This window comes from Homo sapiens, chromosome 6, assembly GCF_000001405.40.
Source record: "Homo sapiens chromosome 6, GRCh38.p14 Primary Assembly".
Taxonomy (NCBI): domain Eukaryota; kingdom Metazoa; phylum Chordata; class Mammalia; order Primates; family Hominidae; genus Homo; species Homo sapiens.
In genome coordinates this window covers 12,030,416-12,054,113 of record NC_000006.12, presented here as the reverse complement: position 1 = coordinate 12,054,113, position 23,698 = coordinate 12,030,416, and the positions used below count along the sequence as shown (strand labels likewise).

The 23,698-nt window shown below is 40.8% G+C and overlaps 1 protein-coding gene across 17 annotated transcripts in view, besides 9 other annotated features; it reads right to left on the bottom strand.

Annotated features, from left to right (window-relative positions):
* The window catches only part of HIVEP1 (HIVEP zinc finger 1), a 204,356-nt gene that overhangs the window by 157,935 nt on the left and 22,723 nt on the right, over positions 1–23,698 (bottom strand). The window contains exon 1 of one of the 17 annotated variants that reach the window (XM_047418704.1): positions 2,646–4,164. The exons of the other annotated variants lie outside the window; for them this stretch is intronic. The gene's annotated coding sequence lies outside the window, so the exon portion shown is untranslated. Of the gene's footprint in view, positions 1–2,645; positions 4,165–23,698 lie in introns of those variants that run through there. 17 annotated transcript variants of the gene reach the window in all.
* Positions 1,839–1,918: an enhancer, noted in NCBI's record as "active region_24006". NCBI's record gives its function as "activates an Ori minimal core promoter by ATAC-STARR-seq in GM12878 lymphoblastoid cells {active_cell/tissue: GM12878}" and the evidence as "EXISTENCE:reporter gene assay evidence [ECO:0000049][PMID:35858748]".
* Positions 1,939–1,988: an enhancer, noted in NCBI's record as "active region_24005". NCBI's record gives its function as "activates an Ori minimal core promoter by ATAC-STARR-seq in GM12878 lymphoblastoid cells {active_cell/tissue: GM12878}" and the evidence as "EXISTENCE:reporter gene assay evidence [ECO:0000049][PMID:35858748]".
* Positions 2,019–2,288: an enhancer, noted in NCBI's record as "active region_24004". NCBI's record gives its function as "activates an Ori minimal core promoter by ATAC-STARR-seq in GM12878 lymphoblastoid cells {active_cell/tissue: GM12878}" and the evidence as "EXISTENCE:reporter gene assay evidence [ECO:0000049][PMID:35858748]".
* Positions 4,553–4,612: an enhancer, noted in NCBI's record as "active region_24003". NCBI's record gives its function as "activates an Ori minimal core promoter by ATAC-STARR-seq in GM12878 lymphoblastoid cells {active_cell/tissue: GM12878}" and the evidence as "EXISTENCE:reporter gene assay evidence [ECO:0000049][PMID:35858748]".
* Positions 6,015–6,124: an enhancer, noted in NCBI's record as "active region_24002". NCBI's record gives its function as "activates an Ori minimal core promoter by ATAC-STARR-seq in GM12878 lymphoblastoid cells {active_cell/tissue: GM12878}" and the evidence as "EXISTENCE:reporter gene assay evidence [ECO:0000049][PMID:35858748]".
* Positions 6,765–6,834: an enhancer, noted in NCBI's record as "active region_24001". NCBI's record gives its function as "activates an Ori minimal core promoter by ATAC-STARR-seq in GM12878 lymphoblastoid cells {active_cell/tissue: GM12878}" and the evidence as "EXISTENCE:reporter gene assay evidence [ECO:0000049][PMID:35858748]".
* Positions 16,813–17,312: an enhancer, noted in NCBI's record as "H3K27ac hESC enhancer chr6:12037035-12037534 (GRCh37/hg19 assembly coordinates)". NCBI's record gives its function as "activates a minimal SCP1, AML or CMV promoter by ChIP-STARR-seq in naive H9 embryonic stem cells {active_cell/tissue: H9 hESC(naive)}" and the evidence as "EXISTENCE:reporter gene assay evidence [ECO:0000049][PMID:30033119]".
* Positions 17,313–17,814: an enhancer, noted in NCBI's record as "H3K27ac hESC enhancer chr6:12036533-12037034 (GRCh37/hg19 assembly coordinates)". NCBI's record gives its function as "activates a minimal SCP1, AML or CMV promoter by ChIP-STARR-seq in naive H9 embryonic stem cells {active_cell/tissue: H9 hESC(naive)}" and the evidence as "EXISTENCE:reporter gene assay evidence [ECO:0000049][PMID:30033119]".
* Positions 19,424–19,718: a silencer, noted in NCBI's record as "tiled region #4667; K562 Repressive DNase matched - State 5:Enh". NCBI's record gives its function as "represses a minimal TATA promoter and a strong SV40 promoter by Sharpr-MPRA in K562 cells {active_cell/tissue: K562}" and the evidence as "EXISTENCE:reporter gene assay evidence [ECO:0000049][PMID:27701403]".

Here is a 23,698-nt window from a genome sequence, read left to right as displayed (position 1 = left end):
AGAGTGGGCATGTTTTATATGTTGCTGAGAGTTATGGGCAATGCGAGCCTGAAAGCTATTAGCTTTCAAATATGACAGACTATTTGAAATGGAGAAGGGAAAGATAACCTACGTTTCTGATACTAACAAGTTGTAGCTCACATTTCCACATGGAGAAGGATCAAATGTACGTTCCCTTTCTGTTATCCTATTTGTCATATTCTTTATTGAAAAAAATAATGACCTTAAGTAAAAGATACGTTATGTACCAAGATGTTCATCCTATTTATTCTGGAAAAGGGCTGAAAGCCACCATATAACAGAGCTTGGCAGATTTATCTCTAGGGTTCTCTTGTCAATTTCTGTTTTGTGGGGGAAGGGGTTTGCTATGATTGAGAAAGGAAAATTAATGTTTTCTTTTCTCTCCAAATATATCCTAGCTTAAGCAGTACACAGCCCCCAACAGAGCATCCCCCTATCCCACCTCCACTTTGGTTTCAGTCAAGACATGGAATCAATTCTGCCCTTACCTAGGGCTATGGACTCAGAACTCCCCCACACCATCTCCACAGGGCCTCAGAATATTTCTATTAGTCTTTTGCCCCTTAAGACTCACAGGTACCTATTTATGTTTTTTTTGTCATATCCTAAAATTTTAGTTAATTTATAATTAATGGTGTTTTCTTATAATAATTTTCCATGGCTTATAATACATTTCTATACTGCTTCTCTTATTTGTATCCTTGGTAAACTTTATCTTCTAACTTGACTAGAAAAAAATCCCACTCTTCTTTTAAACAAACCACAAATTGACAGTCAGGACATCTCAATGTTTAAAGAACAGCAAATAAAATTTGGCTATATATGCCACAAAATATCCCTACACACACACAGACACACACACACACATGAACAGCATATTGGGAAATATTTATAATAATTTTATACCTTGTCTACTGCAAATCTTTATAATGAACACCATATACTATGGACATGTGTTATATTTTCCCCAAAACAGATGTAAATTAAAGCAGCTGCTCAGAAAGTCTTCCGATCTTGAAGAAAATTATAGCTGTGAAGTGTAAAGGCAAATACTCCAATTACAGGAACTACACAGCTTTGCAATAATGACAATCAAATTATTTTAAAAACTGTGATGAGAATCCCCGCCCAACCCCAAGAAATTACTTTCTGAGCATTTGCTACAAGTCTCCAAAAGATAGCATTTCCTAACCATTTTAGCCTGCATTTTTAAAGCACAGGAATGATTGTTTTATCAATTAAAATTTCTAGTTTACAGATGGTTACCTAGTCTTAATCTGGTGAAATTAGAACCTCAGACTTCATTTTAAGACAAGAAAAGAAAGTAAATTGTGGTAACAAGGTACACTGGGAACAGTAAGAATTTGTTTTCAGACAAAACTGAGGCTCAATTCCTAGTTTGGCCATTTACTAGGTACATGATACAAGGCAAGAGACTCCAACTCTCCAAGTCTCAGCCTCTTTCATAACAAAAAATTAAATAGTGCTATCTGCCTCATAAGATAGTTTTAATTCCTGAAAGAGATGACTGATGGAACACACCAGACACAGAGTAGATACTCAATGTATGTTAGCTCTTGTACCCTTCTTCACAAATACTACAAAATTTTCCAAACTGACCAAATAACTTTACACACATAAGGTTCGGACACTATTGTAACAGTTTCATGTACTATTGGAGGTATATTTAGAACATTAATTTTTTAAATGATGTTTAAGAAAGTTAAAATGTATTAATAAAAACCCTCAGATATTCCATCATGCTCTACAAAGCTATCTCTAGGTGGCCCTCTAAGTGGCTTACTTTGGGTGGTTCCAGTAAGATGCATTTCATTATTTAGATGTCTCCTTGTTGAGTAAATATAAGGTGAAGTAAAAGAATCAATACATTCATCATCTGCCTGTATACATATGCCGTGGTCTTGATTCCGTAAGAAGACATGTCTTTATTCATCTAAAGCCATGTACAAATGGAAGTAGAATTTCCAAAGACTGCTTTTAAAATTAAAGGCATGTTTCACAAGTTAGCAAAAGCCGTGCAGCCTCTTAGATCTCTGTATTGGCTAACCACACACCACGACATGCTATCCTCAGTTGGAAAGTCCCCCCACACAGTATGTAAACTCATTTTGAAACTGGAGAGAACAGTTCCTCCTATAACTCATCTGGGCAAGTTTATATAAAAGAATAATTTTTCAGAAAGCCACAGAGGTTCTCTCCCAAGATTGCTGAAGTATAATTATGGACAAGTGTAAATATGGAAAGAGAAGCTGACTAAAAGTAAAAAGCACAGTGAATAAGCGTTTATAAAGATTTATATAAAAAGAAACAAAAACAAATAAAAACTTCAGCCCACCTAATAAAGTAATTTTAGTAATACCCATTCATGTACCACCCTCCCCACCACCTCCCTTCCCGAGAAACAAAAAAAATGGTTAGACTGCATGTTAACATGTAAAGATACCTGTATCTATTTATATTTTATCTATATATTATATTTAATTAGGGTGAAATAATAAAATGCACTAATTATATAGTATTTACATACATACACTATGTATACACACACATAGTAAAGGCAAAAATGGAAAGATAAAACATAATATTCTTAAATGGTTACTTACTGGAGGGGAGAAGGCAGAGATAGAAGATGGACTTTTTTGACAGTATCTTGTTTTCTAGATGCTACTTTGGAGTCATGTAAATATTTTCTGTGATTGTAAAACAAAAATTTTAAATAAAAACTCCTAAAAATCAAAAATAAAATGTGACAAATGAACCCTGCATTTATAAGGTGGTAGCATAACCACACAGAGAAGAATGACTGACAGTGAAATACATTAATCCTATATCCGTAGTGGGACATAAACTAATGACAAAAGAAAAATGGTGGTATTGGTGCTGGCATTAGTAGTCTGAACTGCTGTGTATATCAAAGCAAGTAAGTAATTCTGCCATTCCAGGAGTACAAGCATTCTCGCTGTGAGAGAAAGGAGACAGAAGTATAAGATCCAAGAGGTGAAGTAAAAACCCTGTCGTCCTGATATTTATTTTAATATACATATATATATATATATATATATATATATATGCACTTGTGTATCTGCTACACACATGCACTCAGCGTCCACTGAACAGGCCTGGAAGCAACGGCCAACCCAGTAGCAATGAGCATGCCTAGCGCCTGGCCTGTGGTTCCCCGATACCATTTCCCACCACTTCTACCTTCATCAATAGAACATTTCAATAGGTGGAGATTAAGACCCCCCAAAAGTAGGAGCAAAGACTTGGAAGCAGGAAAGGCCTACTTAGGATGAGCAAATGGCCCACCAGGCCAAGGGCTAGAAAGCAAGGGCATCTACAGTGAGACTGTCTGGAGGGGCCTGACAGGGCCCGACTGCGAGAGCTAATCTTGAAAGCAAAGAAAGATGTTTATGATTCTTGAGGAGAGGATGGGAGTCGCCCAGCTGGACCCATGGTGTTTAATTTTTTTATTTTTTTTTTTTTGAGACGGAGTCTCTCTCTGTCGCCCAGGCTGGAGTGTAGTGGCGTGATCTCGGCTCACTGCAAGCTCCGCCTCCCGGGTTCACGCCATTCTCCTGCCTCAGCCTCCCGAGTAACTGGGACTACAGGTGCCTGCCACTACGCCCGGCTAGTGTTTTTGAATTTTTAGTAGAGACAGGGTTTCACCGTGTTAGCCAGGATGGTCTCGATCTCCTGACCTCATGATCCGCCCGTCTTGGCCTTCCAAAGTGCTGGGATTACAGGCGTGAGCCAGCGCACCCGGCCGATGGTGTTTAATTTTTACAGTGCCCATGTGTGGCAGGCATGAACTCTCGTTATTCACAGATGAGGATGCTAAGGCTTATCTGGCAAGTAGAGAGCATGTGGAACAGTCCCAATTCTAAACCCAATCGCGGTTTACTAATACAGGCTTGTTTCCACTGGGCTGGCGGAGTAGGTGCCTGGCATTTAGGGCAGTTAATGGTGTCAGTGTAAGAACAAGTTAGAGAGTCATGGACAAAGCTGATCAGATAGGAGGCTTTGTCTTTCTTAGGAGCAACAGGGGCAGACTCTGAGCACCTCCGGATATATATGCTCCAGAGAGCCCATATCATCGCCAGCAACACCCCAGAAAGTGACATTCATTTGGTGAATACCTTGTAATTTTTCATCTTCATTTTAATGTTACAAACCAGTTCATCAAATTCTAACAGTTACATCAAAAAGGAAGAAAAATTTCACAACAAAAATATTCCCTCATTACATAATAAAAATTGTTGAAATCCCAAATAGAGCATACGAGAAAAAGGAAGTTTAATAAAAACTACTCAAGTGTGCCATGAAAGTATAAGCTTATTAGTGGAAATCCACAAATTTGTTTTTAAATAAGTTTGAGTCATCTGTAAATCATCCCTCCATCTTTCTTTCTACATATAAATAGCATTTATTATCTGAGCAAGCAGACAGAAAAATACCTTCTTTGATTATTTGTGTTGATTTGTGAACAGAGAACTGGACAAAATCTAAATATCTAAGAGCCCTCCTTTAACTTTAATATCGTATAGTCATTTAAAGAGACACATCCGATCAGGCAGAGCAACTGGCATGATGGTCACCTCCTCGCGCAAGGTCTCACACACTCTGCCGAACACAGAAAGCCAGTGCTGTCACGCCACAAGCTCCCTGAGGGGTTAAAACACCACTCAGATCCCCTTTCTCCAGGTGCTGACCCACTCAGTAGCCAAATCTTAGAGAGAGGAAGAGAGAGGGTCAGAACCCTGCAGAGGAAGGCTGCTCACGAGGGGGCCTGCCAACACTACCTGCACCTTAAAAACAGGTGAATCCTGACATAAGAAATGTCATTAATCTCAAGCCTCTGTGTACCAAAAAGATTTCAACATATTAGCACCTGTTTCAAGGGTGTTCCTGTTATTTGGTAACCCACACCCCATAATAAATGTTCTGGTTATAAAGGCTTGGGAGAATCACCCCATACTCTTCCCCCTGCCCACACCCACCTTTTGCTGTATTCTCACCTCTTTTATTTTCCTTTGGGTAAGCCAGAGTTGGCTAGACTTTGGAATCTAAAATCTCATCATAATGCCCAATGAGTAACTATCTCCACATTTTCTTTTACTAACATCATATTAAAATGCATTAAGCAGCCAGTGTGCCCAGTAGATACCACATAAACACTCTGAGGCTTGATTTTGGTTTGAATTGTGCAGACTAGGAGAGAGAAAATAATACAAAACTGTCCCCAAGCAGAAAGAACAGCTTCACCATTTTGCTCAAAAGTGAGCCAGTAACTGGAAAGAAAGGGTCACAAAACAAGCCTGTATCTCAGTTTCACAAAGATTGAATAATTTTGATGTGAGTAATACTAAAAAGGAGACAATCTCGTTTTAGCCTCTATGGTTCTTTAAACTGGAAAGGTATTTTTAAAAACAAGCATTCTGTATTCGCCCTTAAATGTTGAATTTTCAATTAGAGAGTGTATCCAGGTACCATGAACAACAGATTGTGCATGTTTTTAAATACTCTGTGACTCACAAGTAGAATCTTGATTACTAAAAAATAAATTTTAAAAAAGGTAAGATTTTGGGGTGGGATGATGGGCATATTGGTTGGAAGGCCAAGAATTGCTGGAGAGAGGTAGAGTATTGGAAATGTATGCCATCTCTTCTCAATTCTAAATTATCATTTAATGTCTAGGTGACAAAGTTCAGAAAAATATGACCCTAATTTTTTATTCAAGCAAATGTTCTTTCCCTTATCTAAAGGAGCAAGAAGGTGTCCACTCTCCAGCCTTGACATACCCTGCTGCCGCGGACGGCGCACAAGTGCCTTCCCAAGGCCTTACGCTTCACCATGGCCCACCTACTCTTATCACTGGGCCCAATGGCAGCTAAAATTTATGACTTTTGAAGCTGGGACAAAGAACTGGCTGAAATGGAGATGCCCGCTTAACAGAAATCTTGTAAGAAGCTGAAAAGCCCATGGTCATGAAAGCTAGTGAAAAACAGAAGAGTCCAGATGCATCCTACCTGCAAAATGGAACAGCAACAGTTGAGCCTACAGCTCACTTACAAATTCAGAGGGCCTCTAGGCACGTGCCAGAACCACGCAAACTGCTCAGTACTCAGATGTGAAAAGCAAGGAGGGTACTGCTCTGAAAAGACAAGTGCAATGAACCCAAAACAAAGGTCTGAAATTCTTTCCTGACCAGCTTATCGAGGAAACTAAGAGGGTTCCATGACTGCAAGCGATCTCTCATGATGGAAATACCACTGAATTAAAAAGCTACCTACCGGGTGCATCCACAGGAAAAAGGTGCCCTTAGAAGTGCCTAAGAAACGTAAGGGTGAAAACCGAAGGAAACATCCACACCCTCAGCCAATCCCACTCCAAAAGCAGAGTGAGGGAAAGGCCAAACTCTTAACAGCAATCAGCAGTGTGACAGGACGGAAAGAAGATGTGTTTGTGGCAGAACACCTGCTTCTGAGTAGCACCTCTGCTCCAGTGGCTGTGAGACCCGCGATGTGACCTAGGCTGCCCAGGGCTACCATGAACCTGTCTCCCCTCCCAGCACCGTGGGGACCACGAGGTAGCAGCACATGCAGGCAAATCAGCTTCCTCCCTTCGCCCAGTTATGCCTTCCGAAAACACCATTTCACCCACTGGCCAACCGTCCAACTTCCTGATTCCTCTGTGAAGACACTGACAAAATGTCTCCAGTCGTTTAAAACTGCATGGTCTTTTAATGCTCATGTACATCACTGTACAAGGGCTACACTTGACACTAGCATGGTCCCAAAACGTTACAAGACTTACACATATTTGTAGGCATTTAGAATTATGTCACTTATTTAATGTACAAATTACTGCTAAAAGTATTGGAATAGTATTTTATGCCTTTAACAATGTGGTCAGCTGGGCGCGGTGGCTCACACCTGTAATCCCAGCACTTTGGGAGGCTGAGGCTGGTAGATCACAAGGTCAGGAGTTCCAGACCAGCCTGGCCAACATGGTGAAACCCCGTCTCTACTAAAAATACAAAAATTAGCCAGGCGTGGTGGTGGACACCTGTAATCCCAGTTACTCGGGAGGCTGAGGCAGGGGAATTGCTTGAACCCAGGAGGCGAAGATTGCAGTGAGCCAAGGTCACGCCACTGCACTCCAGCCTGTGCTACAGAGCGAGACTCCATCTCAAACACACACACACACACACACACACACACACAGTGTAGTGGCAGTAAGAAGAAGTGTAAAGCTTTGGATGAGGCCACCCAGAATTCTTTTTTTTAATTTTGAGACAGAGTCTCGCTCTGTCACCAGGCTGAAGTGCAGTGGCACGATCTCAGCTCACTGCAACCTCCACCTCCTGGGTTCAAGTGATTCTCCTGCCTCAGCCTTCCGAGTAGCTGGGACTACAGGCACGCGCCACCATGCCTGGCTAATTTTTGTATTTTTGGTAAAGACAGGGTTTTACCATGTTGGCCAGGATTGTCTCGATCTCTTGACCTCGTGATCCACCCACCTCAGCCTCCCAAAGTGATGAGATTACAGGCGTGAGCCACCGCACCTGGCCAGCAACCCAGGATTCTAACTCCAGTGTCTGCTCTGACATTCACTTTCTAGGGGGGCTGCAGCTTCTCATTTCTATAGGCCTTAGCTTTCCTCTTTCTGAACTGGGGACAATGAACATAGCAGTGTGCCACAAGACTTTTTTTGCAGGGTTAAATGTGGTAATGAGAGTTGAACAGGTCCAGAAATGCAGTAAGAACTCAATAAATGTTGGCCATTATCCCTAATAACACAGACAAAATATTACCATATGGTTAATTTTTAGACTGCTACTCAAGTTTAGAATATCAAAGTGTTTGTAAACACATAAAATTATTTTTTGAACATAAAGTCTATAAAATCTACAAAGGTAATTCAGATACTTAAAACAATCAAGGTGTAATTTTTCTCATTAGTTTTTATATTGCTAAAATTATTTAAAAATTTCTCCCAGTGAATTGTGGGTGATTTAAATTACATGAATCTCATCTCTTCACTTGACATTTCAAAGAAGATACTTAACATTCTTTTCAGACTCACATTCATTCACAAAAAAATTTCAAGTATTAGAAATATAAACAGGTGGATTTCAAATGGGTAGAATTTTAAAGATAATTATAAAGCATAAAGACAATTATTGGCTTCCAAATATTTGGGACTATTCGTTATTATCAAATTTTTATTAGGCACGTATTCACCACTGCAGATGTGATGGAGAACATTTTAACAGGCATACATTGTTAAAATTATAAGGCAATTTTAATTGTCATTTAATAAATGAGGTTTGAGCTTTGTCACCAGAGGCATTTATGTGCTAAAATCACCATGCTAACATATCTTCCATGGCACCAGTGGGTTACAATCAATCACCTCTAACAAACATTCCCTAACATAGCAGGGTACACTTCATTACCAAGCATTAACTCAACATGCATTTACTGAAGAAATTAATGGGCTATCTCAAGGCTGTGCTCACTGCACAATCCCAGGAGACACCATTCACAATGTATTCTAAAGCTGGCAGCACAGTGGTCCTGGGCCTCCTTTCTACCCTAACAGCACCTTTAAAAATGTGCCCAACTCATGAGATGTTAAAGGAAATATACAAACAAATACATCTGCCCTGGCATGTTAACATAAACCCCACCATGCTCCACCCTCCTTTCAGGTGAATCTAACGTATCAGAAGCCAATAGCTGGTGTGAAATAAAGCTGCCCTGCCTCTCCATCCAGTGAGCAATACAGGGCACCCTCCCAGGACCCAGGTGATGAGCTGCTTCTCTGAGATGAACGGTGGATGTATTTGGATCCACACACACATTCACCCAAGCCAACTTCTGATCAAGCATATGAATAAAAATGCCCAGTAGATGGCGAGGGTTAGGAACAGAGCTGACTGTGCTAGAAGAAAGCCAAGATCCACACAATGTTTCATCACCCTGGTGATCTCATTAGTCTAGTGTTCTAAACAACTCATCTAAATAGCCACAGAAGCCCTAGAACCAGAAAATAAACATGAACCTTCTTAAAAAGCAAATTTGACTTAGCTCTATTGATGGGTTACAGGCAAGCATCACAGCGGAGGCTCCAAAATGTCTACACAGGAGGGATGTGGGTCCAGTCAGCTTGGAGAAGGAAGGAGGAACTGGCTGAGGCACTTCACTGCAAACACACATGCACAGCAAGCCCTCAGCTGTACACAGGTGCGCTGGCTTTGAGGGGGGCACAGTGAGCCCTCAGCTGTACACAGGTGCACTGGCTTTGAGTGGGGGACAGCAAGTCCTCAGCTGTACACAGGTGTGCTGGCTTTGAATGGGGGACAGAAAGCCCTCAGCTGCACACAGGTGCACTGGCTTTTAGTGGAGGACAGCAAGCCCTCAGCTGTAAACAGGTGCGCTGGCTTTGAGGGGGGCACAGTGAGCCCTCAGCTGTACACAGGTGCACTGGCTTTGAGGGGGGCACAGTGAGCCCTCAGCTGTACACAGGTGCACTGGCTTTGAGTGGGGGACAGCAAGCCCTCAGCTGTACACAGGTGCGCTGGCTTTGACTGCTTTGAGGGGCGTTAACAGGGCGATAGGATGGTGAGGGGTGGGGAAAGGAAAGCTTCCCAAGGTACCCTTTGGTGCCAACAAAAAAAACTGCTGTTTTAAAATTCAACTGAAAATATTATTGTTTAGAAATTAGAATATATTTTCCCCCTTAGGAAAAATTATACATTTGGTTGCTATCTTGACCAGTCCATAAAAGTCCATAAATTGATCCCTAAAATAGTAAAACATTAACACAGAACCCAATAATTGATTAAAACAGCGTTCTATGGGGGTGGTGGAGATTCACTTAGAATTCTTATTCAGGAGCCCAGAAACCCATTTGCGCCGTGCCATTCACGGCTTTAAGATAGTGGTCTCCACACGGGCAGGCTCACCCCATAGAAAGCATCATTTACACATGCAGGGCCTTGAAAAACATAAACATTCCCAATGTATATTTAAAAAGAGAGCCCAGAATAACCACACATTCACACGCTCCCCATCTTCAACAATTCTCCATATACTCCTCCACACCCGAGATCCACCCCTCAGATTACTCTGAAGCAAAACTCTGTGGAAACTTTTATCATAATGACTGGAGTGCCACTGGCATCAGAGGACAGAGACACTAAAATTGCTAGAAATCCCACAAAACCCAGACAGTCTCTAGACATAAATTACAGAAGTGCCACGAACAACACAGCAAGGGGACGCTGATCAGCGTCGGTTCAACGAGAACTTCTGCACTTGATGCTGAAGCCACCAGTGCCACCGAGCTAAGAACAAATCCAGGAAAATCATGAACCTTCTTAAAAAACAAATTACACGGCTGGGCACGGTGCCTCACGCCTGTAATCCCAGCACTTTGGGAGGCTGAGGCAGGTGGATCACCTGAGGTCAGGAGTTTGAGACCAGCCTGACCAACATGGTAAAACCCCGGCTCTACCAAAAATACAAAAATTAGCTGGCTGTGGTGGCAGGAGCCTGTCCTGTAATCCCAGCTATTTGGGAGGCTGAGGCAGGAGAATCACTTGAACCTGGGAGGTGGAGGTTGCAGTGAACTGAGATCATGCCATTGCACTCCAGCCTGGGTGACAGAGTAAGACTCTGTCTCCAAAAAAAAAAAAAAAAAAAAAAATTTTCACTTAGAAAGTGGGAATAGGAGAAATGCCATTACATGAGCACTCATGCGCATATAAATATCACATAAAATGCCTGCCTGGATCAACTCATTTTGTAAGTAAAGAGAGTAGGTAAAAACAGAGACTTGAGAATCAAAAGTTAGGGTATTTCAAGTAAACATTAAGAAATGTTTAAAATAAAAAAGTACAGTGAAGGCAAACTTACCCTTTTGGAATTTAGAACTAAAAACCACTGTTGTCAAAAGAGTATAGCACAGGAACAAATAAATTAGTGGATCAGGCCAGGAGTCAAAGTATATATCAGAAGTTACTACATGGCAATTCTGCGAGAAAAGATTCTTCATTTAGTAAACAACACTGAGAAATCGGCTTTATTTGTAGGGGGAAAAATGGACTCCATAACCTCATGACATACACAAAAATAAGTACAAATGGATTAAAGATCTAAGTGCAAGAAATACCAATTACGCTGAATTCAAAACATCAATTATAACAGAAACCATTATTTTATGTATCACTGAAAGAAAAAGTACTATTAGCTAAGTTATGATACACTATTATAAGAAATAACTTCAGATATATGAAAGTTTTTTAAAAAACTACATATTTTGGAATCAATAAAATATTTGATAAACTAAACCTATTTCTATTAGAAATATTAGAAGAAACTTTAGAAGGGCTATTTGTATAATTGCAGGTTAGAATAGAAAACATGTTGACGGATTCAACTACAAAAAAGTTTTAAAATTCTGTATAATAAAGGCACCACTAATAGAACTAAAATATAGATTGAGAGAATCACTGTAAATAATATATATTATAAAAATAAAAGCATAAGATAGGGTATGGGGGCACACACCTATAATCTCAGTAGTCTGGGAGACCTGAGGCTGCAGTGAGCTGTGATCGGGCCACTGCACTCCAGCCTGGGCAACAGAGGGAGACTCTGTCTCAAAAAAAAAAAAAAAAGCGGCCGGGTGCGGTGGCTCACGCCTGTAATCCCAGCACTTTGGGAGGCCGAGGCGGGTGGATCATGAGGTCAGGAGATGGAGACCATCCTGGCTAACAAGGTGAAACCCCGTCTCTACTGAAAATACAAAAAAAATTAGCCAGGCGCGGTGGCGGGCGCCTGTAGTCCCAGCTACTCGGGAGGCTGAGGCAGGAGAATGGCGTGAACCCGGGAAGCGGAGCTTGCAGTGAGCCGAGATTGCGCCACTGCAGTCCGCAGTCCCGCCTTGGCGACAGAGCGAGACTCCGTCTCAAAAAAAAAAAAAAAAAAGCGTACGAATATTAACAAATACAATCTATGTACAAAGGATGTAAGGATGTTTACTGCAGTCGTTTGTAATGGCAAAAATAAAAGCAAAACTGAAAAGAAATAAAAAACAAAACTGGCCAGGCACGGTGACTCACACCTATAACCCCAGCACTTTGGGAGGCCAAGGCGGGCGGATCACAAGGTCAGGAGATCAAGACCATCCTAGCTAACACGGTGAAAACCCGTTTCTACTAAAAATACAAAAAATTAGCCAGGCATGGTGGCATGGAACTTTAATTCCAGCTACTTGGCTGAGGCAGAAGAATTGCTTGAACCTGGGAGGCGGAGGTTGCAGTGAGCCAAGATCAAGCAACTGAACTCCAGCCTGGGCGAGAGAGCGAGACTCTGTCTCAACAAAACAAACAAACAAACAATTAATTTGTTCTATCAAAGAAATAACTAAATTAGGTAAATTCTTACTAGAGATGATGTAACAAATTAACAAATTAAAATCTGCATGTAATGACCTGAAGGACATGAAGGATGTCTACACCAAATTCTTAAGTTGGGGGGAAGGAAAAAAAAAAAAACATGTAAGCTAGAATGTAATGTATACAGTAGCCCATATTAGCAACCCACTTTCTCCGGCTTTTTTTTTTTTTTTTTTTTTTTTAGACGGAGTCTCGCTCTGTCGCCCAGGCTGGAGTGCAATGGCGGGATCTCGGCTCACTACAAGCTCCGCCTCCCGGGTTCACGCCATTCTCCTGCCTCAGCCTCCCAAGTAACTGGGACTACAGGTGCCCACCACCATGCCCGGCTAGTGTTTTTGAATTTTTAGTAGAGACAGGGTTTCACCATGTTAGCCAGGATGGTCTCGATCTCCTGACCTTGTGATCCGCCTGCCTCAGCCTCCCAAAGTGCTGGGATTACAGGCGTGAGCCACACTGCGCCCGGCTGGCTATTTATTTCTAAAAACAGAAAGATGCAGGAGAGAGAGCAAACTGTCAACAGCTCAGAGGAGAAAAAGAGACAAACAGACCGACTGATAGTTTGGATATTTGTCCCAACCCAAATCTCATGTTGTATTGTAATGCCCAATGCTGGAGGTGGGGCTGGATCATGGGGACACACCCCTCATGGCTTGGTACTGTCTTCGTGAGAGTGAGTTCTCCTGAGATCTGGTTGTTTAAAAGTGTGTGGCACGTCCCCCCCACCACTCTTCACTCCCCCACCTTGCCATGCGATGTGCCTACTCCCTCTTCACTTTCCACCATGATTGGAAGCTTCCTGAGGCCTCCCCAGAGGCAGATGCCAGTGCTATGCTTCCTGTACAGCCTGGAGAACCATAAGCCAATTAAACCTCTTTTCTTAGAAATTACTCAGTCTCAGGTACTGCTTTATAGCAATGTAAGAACGGCCTAATACACTGACCAACATGACATGAGTTTTATCTTCAAAAATTTAAATCACACAAGTTATATGCATTGAGCAAAAAGTTATCAGAATTGGGTGTTTCACAAAGAGTGTGTGAAACAATTAATATATTGAATATATTACTGTTTTTCCCAGTCATTGCAGTTTCTTTCTACAAAAAACAAAACAGTAGTACAGCCTCAAAAATCTACAGATAATTTAGATCTATAGTTACGTATTTAAAAAGATATGTAAATCTACCTGTATCTTTATTAAAGACAGAAGGAAAGCAAGAATCAGATCAACAATGCTTCACATTGTGTGACAGGACTAAACTCTTAGAGAAAATTACACAATTTTAAATTATTCTTATTTTTGAGGATTTAACCTCTATGAACATCATAAAAGATTTGCACCACCTGGTGGAAAAGCAAAGATTCGAACACAGTTAAATCTCTTTATTACAGTGTTTCTTAACTCCTGGATCAAAAGACCTTTCAGGACTTTGATAAAAGCCCAGATCCCTTCCTCTCCAAAATGCAGGCATATGCATGCACGCCCACACAGGCACACACACATACACAGATAATAAGCAGTTCCAACAACTGCTGAGCCCATCTATAGAAAACCTTCATCTGTTGTTGGGCTTACATTTCCCCTCGACCGCCCAGCATCAGAATCCTCGCCCCACAGTTGGGGACTCCACTGCTGTTGAGTCCTGCTCAGCAGGGCAGCCAGGCCAGATGCCCGCCCTGCCTGAACTCCGGCCAGGGAACCACTGCAGGTGCTCACAGGGGTCCAGTGCTCCCTGTGGAGGCAGCATCCAAGATCCAGGCTGCTCATGGGTGGTGATATCCCCTGTCCTGGCTGCATAGCTTCTTCCCCTTGTTCCTCACTGTCTTTTAAACACAGATATCCACCTGTGTTGGGGGTTATGACAGCAACCTGACACCCCTTCCAATGAGGTCGTTCCCTGAGTCAAAGAGGCTACTTCTACTCTTTGCAATCAAGAACTCTGGCTTTACGCTTCTACTTGATTATAAGCCTCTGCCAGGACCTCCCTCTAACCTCCTACACACAAACCAACGCTATGACCTTCTAACCAACTTGGCGTCAATAGAACAAATGAGGTTTAAAGAGCTACTGGAACTGAAGGTAAGGACAGAGGATGACCCCTGAAAATACACAAGAATATCACTTTCATTAGACCTAAGGCAGGGTTCCTACAACCCAACCCCAAAAAGAGGCTTGTTTACCTGCATAGCTTCCACATGGCTCTGACTGGTATTTAAGACAATTAAGTAAATTGTCCTTTACTTTAAGTCATGACGTTGGATAAACAGCATGGTTTCAACCAAATGTGACTGACAAACATTTAATGAGAGAAAACTGGTAGAGAAAAGTTAGGTGGCATGGACACAAAAGACAATGCCTGTTGATATATGCATGTCTTTAATCAACAAAATAAAAGCTTAGCTGACCAAGCATTCCAATTTGAAAAAGGTAATCCTGGTTTTTTACATAATCACAGATTTTTTTTAGCTGAAGTAGAAATATACAAATCTAAATCCTTTCAGTGTAGATAAATAGGTAACAAAGATCAAAAAGTGGTAAGTAATTTGGCTAAGGACATAGCTAGTTCATGATAAGACTAAGGACCAAAGGGGTAACAACATTCATTCTATGTGCCTGTTACTCTGCCAGGTATATTATATAAAGTGTCCATTTTAACTCTCATCACAAATCTGTGACAGATATATTATACTCATTTTATAACACAGAGAATGACAGTCAGAAGTAAAACGTCCCATCCACAGAGCTCCTAAAAGGCAGAGTAGAGATCCAAAACTCTATTTATTAATTTCTAAAGTTAATCTTACTCCCTTCCTGGCTTTAGGGTTTGGGGAATGGAGAATGATTCTTTGTTGTTGTTGTTGGTGGTGGTGGTGGTGGTTCTTTGTTGTTGTTGTTGTTGGTTCTTTGTTGTTGTTGTTGTTGTTGTCGTTGTTGAGATGGAGTCTCGCCCTGTCGCCCAGGCTGGAGTGCAGTGGCGCAATCTTGGCTCACTGCAACCTCCGCCTCCTGGCTTCAAGCAATTATCCTGCCTCAGCCTCCCAAGTAGCTGGGACTACAAGTGCATGCCACCATGCCCAGCTAATTTTTGTATTTTTAGTACAGACGGGGTTTCGGCATGTTGGCCAGGATGGTCTCAATCTCTTGACCTCGTGATCTGCCTGCCTCAGCCTCCCAAAGTGCTGGGATTACAATCGTGAGCCACCGCGCCCATCCAGAGGATGATTCTTAACTTTTTCTGTGTACCCTGTATGCCTCTGCAGTTTAGCCAAATTGATGGACCCCTTTTCAGAATGTTTTAAAATGCATAAAATACACAGGATTAAAAAAACAATTACACCAAAATATAGTTCTCAAATATTAAAAATTACAGTTGATAAATAGTAATATCTGTGCTTCTTTATGAAAGCATTAAATAAAATCTAATAAAGCCCCGAATAACTATTGTTCCTTGCCTTCAATAGAAAGGATATCAATAGATCAAAACACTAAAACATACTGAATTTGCACGGTATTAATGTCTAACAGATACATCAGGTTCCTTAATTTTTTTCTGCACAGGATGTTTAAAAATAAGAAGAAGAAAAACCACAGACTAGGTGCGGTGGCTCATGCCTGTAATCTCAGTGCTTTGGGGGGCCAACACAGGAGGTTCACTTGAGGCTGGGAGTTCAAGACCAGTCTGGGCAACAAAGTGAGGAACTCCCCTCCCCTCCGCCAAAAAAAAAAAGTAGCTAGGCACACTGGCATGTGCCTGTAGTCCAAGCTATTCGGGACGCTAAAGCAGGAAGGGGACAAGCCTTAGCTTGTCCCCAGAAGTTTGGGGTTGCAGTGAGCTACAACTACACCACTGCACTCCAGCCTGAGCAAAAGAGCAAGACCCTACAAAAAAAAAGGAAAAAACAATAAACAGAATTATCATTTAGATTTCATTCTCCCTGTTGAAGAACATTTAAAAAGAAAACAGGAAAACACTCACTGCTACTATCTATTTCATATACAAAATTCTTTTCCATAATATCCAGTGCAACCTCTCAGCCACATACAACTACATTATCCACAAATATGTTTATATTCAACATAACCTACAGTCCAGCAATAAAATGCAGAAAGGAATATGGTTTCACAGATTGGGAGTCAGAAAATCTAATTTTTGCCACCAATGCAATAAACGGTCTCAGGAAAATCATCGCTGATCAATATATGAATGACCACAGTAGCAAACACACGAAGAAACTGACACAGACAAACATCTCTTTTGATTCTACACTTATGTTTACTAAATAGCCAGGCAACCAAAAAAGGTGCTCAAAAATTATGAGAATGTGGCATGATTAACAAGACAAATAATACATACTGAACTTTGAAAGATGAAAAACCTGCAAGAAGTGAAAATGAGGCACTCCTCTTCCAACCAAAATACGATATACACCCACCCACTCCAAGACCCGGGCCTCAACACCCACTCCGTCCCCTCCATCACTGCTCCTGACTGTTAAGGTCACCCTGAGATAACTTGGTCCTTGTAAATATCCACATCCTCCAAAACTTGAACGTCACTACTTTATTTCCATGGTTGCCTCCATTCAGCCAGCCTCCACCCAAATGATCTGGCCAACTCCTATTCATTCTCCAAGACCCAGCCTCCACACCATCTTCTCTGGAGGGCTGTTTTTTGTTTGTTTGTTTTTGGTTTTGGTTTTTGAGATGAATCTTCTGTTGCCCAGGCTGGAGTGCAGTGGTGCAATCTCAGCTCACTGCAGCCTCCGCCTCCCGGGTTCAAGCACTTCTCCTGACTCAGCTTCCCAAGTAGCTGGGATTACAGGCGTGCGCCACCACGCACACCCAGCTAATTTTTGTATTATTAGTACAGATGGGGTTCCCCCATGTTAGCCAGGCTGGTCTCGAACTCCTGACCTCAGGTGATCCACCTGCTTCAGCTTCCCAAAATACTGGGATTACAGGCGTGAGCCACAGCACTCAGCCAGAAAGCTGCTCTTTCATACTGTGTTGTTAGCTGCTTATGTGTCCGCCTACAGGACCACAGAGATCACCCAAGGGGCTGTGCATCCCTGGAGCCTACAGCAGTGCTCAGAACACAGATTGATGAATTAACTGAAGAGTCACAGGGTAAATGCTCAATTGATGCCTGAAATTACTTAAAATTCTCATGTTGCTGTCACCCTAACAAAAGTATTTCCACAAAGACCATACAATTGTATATCCTATACATACGTGGATTTTTACATATAATGAACATTTTTCATGTTTCCACAGGATTTCAAAAATTATCATTTTTAATGTCTGCCAGAGCATAAGATCAATTTATTAGTCTGCACTGAAGGGCATTTAAGGCACTTCTACTGTTTTGCTATTAAAGATAACACCAAAATCAAGCTCTTTGAACAAATATCTTTTTGCTTCAGCTGAATTATTTCCTTAGGATAAATTTCAAGACATAAAACCCTTTAAAGCTCTACTATGTCATCAGCAATAAATGAGTATACTTGTTCCACACAACCTCAGCAGCCCTGGGTGCCATTTCTTTAAAATAGCAAATGCGTGGGTAAATAAAAATTGTCTCCACATTGTTTCCATTTTTTCTTATTACAGAGAACGATGTTTCCATATAATACTTTAGCATTTGTAATTCCCTTTGTCCATTTACCTATTGTACCTTTTCTTACGTATTAGAAAAGGCTACCTTTTTCATACTAGTTCTGAAATAAGCAGTTTATATTTTTCTATCTGTCATGCTTTTTGTTTCTGGACTGTAATTCTCTAAGCCCTAGAATGAAATCTCAATGTTTTTCTATATTTCCTACTTTCTATATATTGATTTTCTACATATCTACTCGAAAATGTATGTTGATTTGTGGGATGAATTTCAGTACTTTCCCCTCCAAACATCCACTCCGTTAATCCCAACATCATATTTAAAAGATCCTTCCCTGTTTATGTATCTGCTTATGTGGGTATACAAATAATTCTAAAACGATTAAATGTTAAAAAATAAGATTCACTTTAGAAGTACATTTCAGAAACAACAAATTTTGCTGATATACACACACAGGTTCAGAGTACAAGGAATACATAAAAAGCAAAATGTACTATGTGTAATTTTTCATTGAAATTAGATTTTTCTAGAAAGACCCACCTATCAATGGGTCCTGACACTCCACCACTCTGAACTATTCTTATTTCATTAAAAAAGAAGAAAAAGCATGCTTGCAGTTTTTTCCTCAAACAGTATGCATCTAAACTTGAAAAAGATAATGCATCATTTACATGACACCTGCTCTTCACTTCCAGTAAGTCCTATCTGCAGAATTCTGTCAGACAAATCAGGATACACTTAGAAAGATTAATCTGTGACTCCTGAACAGATACACTCCAAGTTTATTTTCAAGCAACTGAGGAATATACTGAACAGCTTTCTCTGTCACAGATTAAACTCATAGATCAATTTTAGCCAAGACCATGTGCATATACCCACCATATATAGATCCTGGTACATACACATACACACTTTCCGTAACCAGAAATAATAACATCCACATCCATGAGGTGTCAGTAGCTCTTCATACATCTGGTACCAAGCGCTTGATTTACACAAATGGTATTTTTCCCAATTCTAACATGCTGCCAGCCCCAAGCTTACCCGCATTATTTTTCCAACTACATTTTCGTTGAGATCCTGCACTTCCAGGCTGTTTCAGTGGCATGTCAGATCAGGATGCCACACACAGCCTGGTACAACGCCCAGGTCAAGAAACCACACTATTTGACCAGGTTACTCTCCTTACCCAAGTCTCTGACCCCAAATTCCTTTTTCCTCTCTTTCAAGTACCCACAATGAGAAGAAATCAGAAATACATGCATAGGTTTTACGAAACTGGGACTTAGAGAATTAGCTCAATGTGGGCACAGAAAGTAAAGAGAATTCTTGGGGTTGAGGGGGTAGCTTTCACATGGAATCAGAAAACACTGTTCTCCTTTCCCAGTCTCTCCTGACAGTTTTCATTGTTCCATAGCCCTTATCACTTTGCAGCTGTTACAGTTTTGGGCTTGTCTTAACTCTCCTATTGAACTGCAGCGTCAGGGTCGCTGAGGCTACAATGTATGCCAGAGTCACTCAGGTAACCTCCACAGCACTCAGCAGGCACAGTGCCTTGCAGGGCTATTTATCAAACATTTGCTAAGTGTACAAGAAAAATTATCCAATCTGCAAAGAATAAAAGGTCTAAACTTTTACTTAATAAAACTCATAGATTCGGTTGCCAAAAATATGATTTTTAAAGCCTAAGAAACAGTAATCATTTTTATAAATCTGTTACAGACCAGCCTCAAGAGACACATTTATATCAGTGTTTAACAAAAGTACAAGATTCAGACCAAAATGCATACATACATAACTTCTTGCTTGACTCTTACAAAAAAATGCAGGTGCTAAAAGACTATCTAATGTTTATAAAATCCATTATTTAACTACAGCAATTCTGCTCTATCATGTATGTTACTGGCATGGGTGGGTTATTAAGTCAGACCGCATTCCAGACAGCACACGGCTGCAGTTCAGGGTGAAGAGACTGCCTACAAAACGTCTGCTTAATCCCATCCAATCTTTAACCAGAGACTTCCTGATTTCACCTTACAACAAATGAGCCCTGAATCCTGATTTCCTGTATGTCTAAATTCTGCAATGCCTATGTTGCGAAATTTAAACCTATCCAACTAGTTTAAGAATTACTCTTGAGGAACACACTATCCACAACAAATGTACTCTTCAGGAGACAAGAAGGTTTCCAAGGAACAAGAAGTGTCTAGAGATTTGGCTTTTAAAAACTTAATATTTTTTTAAAAAGTATTCTAGAATAAGGTACTCTGTCAGTAAGTAAAATAGTAAGATAAACTATACAATTCTCAGTTCTAAAAACTCTATGAAAATATAGTATTATTAAGAGGGTTTGGACATACTGGAGTCCAGTTGTGTCCACCCCAAAACTAAAGGTGACATTAAAACCTGATGTAACCAAAGTTACCACTTCTTCCATATTAACTTAAATATCACAGAAGAGAACCGCTGAGGTTGAGCAGAGTGGGCTGTGGTCCAGCAAGGTTCAAGAACGTTTCTCAGTACATTCTTTGATAATCTCTCTTAGAGACCTTGCTTTGCCCCTTCTAATCATGGCCTGAGAATGTCGACATAACAATGCTACTGTCTCTCATTGTACAGATGTTCCACCTGATAATCTTTTACACACACACACACACACACACACACATGCTCCTCTACTTATAATGGGGTCATGAACTGATAAACCCATCATAAATTGAAAATATCATAAGTCAAATGCATTTAATACACCATAACCTACCAAGCATTGTAACAACCTAGCCTACCTTCAATGTGCTTAGCACATTTATATTAGCCTACAGTTGTGCAAAATCATCTAATACAAAGGCTCTTTTATACTAAAGTGTTAGATATCTCACATATTGAATACTGTACTGAAAGTGAAAAACAGAATGGTTGTATGGGTCGAAAAATCATAAGACAAACGATTGGTTAAGTCAGGGACCGTCTACATATGAGTTCATTCACCGTAAAATAACAGTGAAGTTTCATCATCACTTGTAAGCACATGAAATTTATACTTTAGAAAGGAAATCACTATGAAATGTTGGGAAATTTTGGATATCTGGGAAGAGCATTCAACCAAAATGTACCCTGAAAGAAATACACTGTATGTTTCAGTTAGTATATAAAATAGCAAAATTATTCTACAAAAAGGAGAAAACGTTAAGAAGCAAAGCTAGGTAAAGCAAGAAGATAAATCTGGTGAAGAAAAAGTTGCCAAAAACACACCCACAACCACAAACTTTCTGGGTGGGTAAACAAACGTTTGCTGAATAGCTACTAAGTACCAGTTTTATCTATGTTATATTTAATTTTCAAAATAACCCATAAGGTAGGAATATTATATCCAATTTAGGATGAGAAAACAGGTTCAGAGAGATTAAGTAACATTCTGTCAATCACAGACCTAGTAAGTTGTACCAGGATTCAATCCCAATCCCACAACTCTAAACTCCAAACTCTTGCTTTTTTTCCCCCACTAAACCACACTTTCAGTTATAGAAGTTTAAATATAAAAGTTATCATGGCCGGGCGCGGTGGCTCACGCCTGTAATCCCAGCACTTTGGGAGGCTGAGGCGGGCGGATCACAAGGTCAGGAAATCGAGACCATCCTGGCTAACACAGTGAAACCCTGTCTCTACTAAAAAAAAATACAAAAAATTAGCCGGGCATGGTGGCGCTCTTGTAGTCGCAGCTACTTGGGAGGCTGAGACAGGAGAATGGCGTGAAACCGGGAAGCAGAGCTTGCAGTGAGCCGAAATCGCGCCACTACACTCCAGCCTGGGCGACAGAGCAAGACTCTGTCTCAAAAAAAAAAAAAAAAAAAGGTTATCAGTGAACTAACATTTGCATCAGTAGTAGGGATTTTAAATATGCAGAATGCCTGCAACAGTATTTTAAAAACACAATCATCACACTATTTGTATCTTTTAAAAAGCATCTAGATTTTCTGCCAGCTTGATGGGTCTCTACATGCAGTCTTAAGTAAGAGGCCTGTCAAAACACACTGTGCAACTTGATGTTATGAGGGCCCAGGACACTGCCTGCTGCAGGAGGACAGCATGGTCCACATTCACGGTCCACAGGAGGACAGAATGGTACACATTCATAGGAAATGCAGCAAGGACAAAGTGAGGAGTGACAAATCCTCTCCACAAAACGCAACCATAAAGCCACACAAAACTGTCAAGAACCACCACTGTCAGCGCTCTGGCAATCACCCAAAGCCGTATACACGTGGAGGGGCATTTCTTCGTGGAAAGTACTGAACTGCAGGTAAGACTAGCACATTGGCATTTTTTGCCCGGGGCTGTTCCTGTCTCCCTATCCCAGTTCTGTCAGTGCCAGGGTTCAACCAAGAGGGGAAAGCTGGGAAAAGCAGCAACTTCACTGCTTTTGCCAGGCCAGGTTCACCAGATTTGGAGCACAGTCAGTTAAACTGGCAATCCCAATAGCAAGAGAACTCAAGAAAATCAATGGCAATGTCCGCCTGAGGCTGAGGTCCTGCTGAGGGCAAGCAAGAGACTAGAAGACTAGCCAGGGACTTACTAGGGAGTTCTGGTAGGTGAGCCACTTACAGTGTGCTGGGTAAACTCTCCACATGTATCCCAGGTTAACCAGAGACTCTGCACATGTGTCACCAACACTAGGGCAGTCTCCTAACCTCTGCACACTCCTGGGCCACAGAGCCTGGGCATACACACACAAAGAAGACATAAGAGGGTCCAGCTGAAAGTTAAAGCCAGGACAGATGTGAGAACTGCCTGTGATTTGAAAGTGCTCCCCAGCCCACACACAGACCCACAGGCAGAGAGTCAAGGTTCAGACTGACTCACAATTAAGCTCTGATCTACCTTTGGCTTTAAAACAAAACTACACAGGGTAACCCTCTAGGAAGCTAGGATTTAAAGTAAAACATAAGAAAACAAAAAAAACAAACAAACGAAAGCAAACCTGGGCAGAGCCATCAGCAGCCACACAACATGAGAGAAATAGCCTTCACATATTTAGTCCAGAAAAGCTACTAAACCAAAAAATAACTCACAAGGGAGCAAGGATCAGAATCCACAGTTGCTACAATCTATTATCTTAAATGTAAAATATTCAACAAAAAATTGGAGACATGAAGAGAAATAAGAAAGTGTGACCCATACTCAGGGGAAAAATTGAGTCAATAGAAAGTATCTCTAGTATCCCCAAATGCTGGATTTAATAGGATGAGATTTCATAGTAGCTATTATATGTTCAAAGAACTGAAGGGAACCATATTTAAAGAATTAAAGTATGATTATAACAACAAATAGAATCTCAATAAAGTGATAGAAATTATTTTAAAAAGAGACAGAGAAGCAAATAGAAATTCTAGAGTTGAAAAGTAAAGTAAGTGAAATGAAAAATTTACTAGAGGGACTCAACCGCAAATCTGAACTGGTACGAGAAACAATCCATATATTTGAAGATAGCTCAATGAAAAGTATCCAATCTGAGGAACAGAAAAAAATTAAAGAGATATTAACAGACCCTCAGAGACCTGTGGAACAACAAACATAA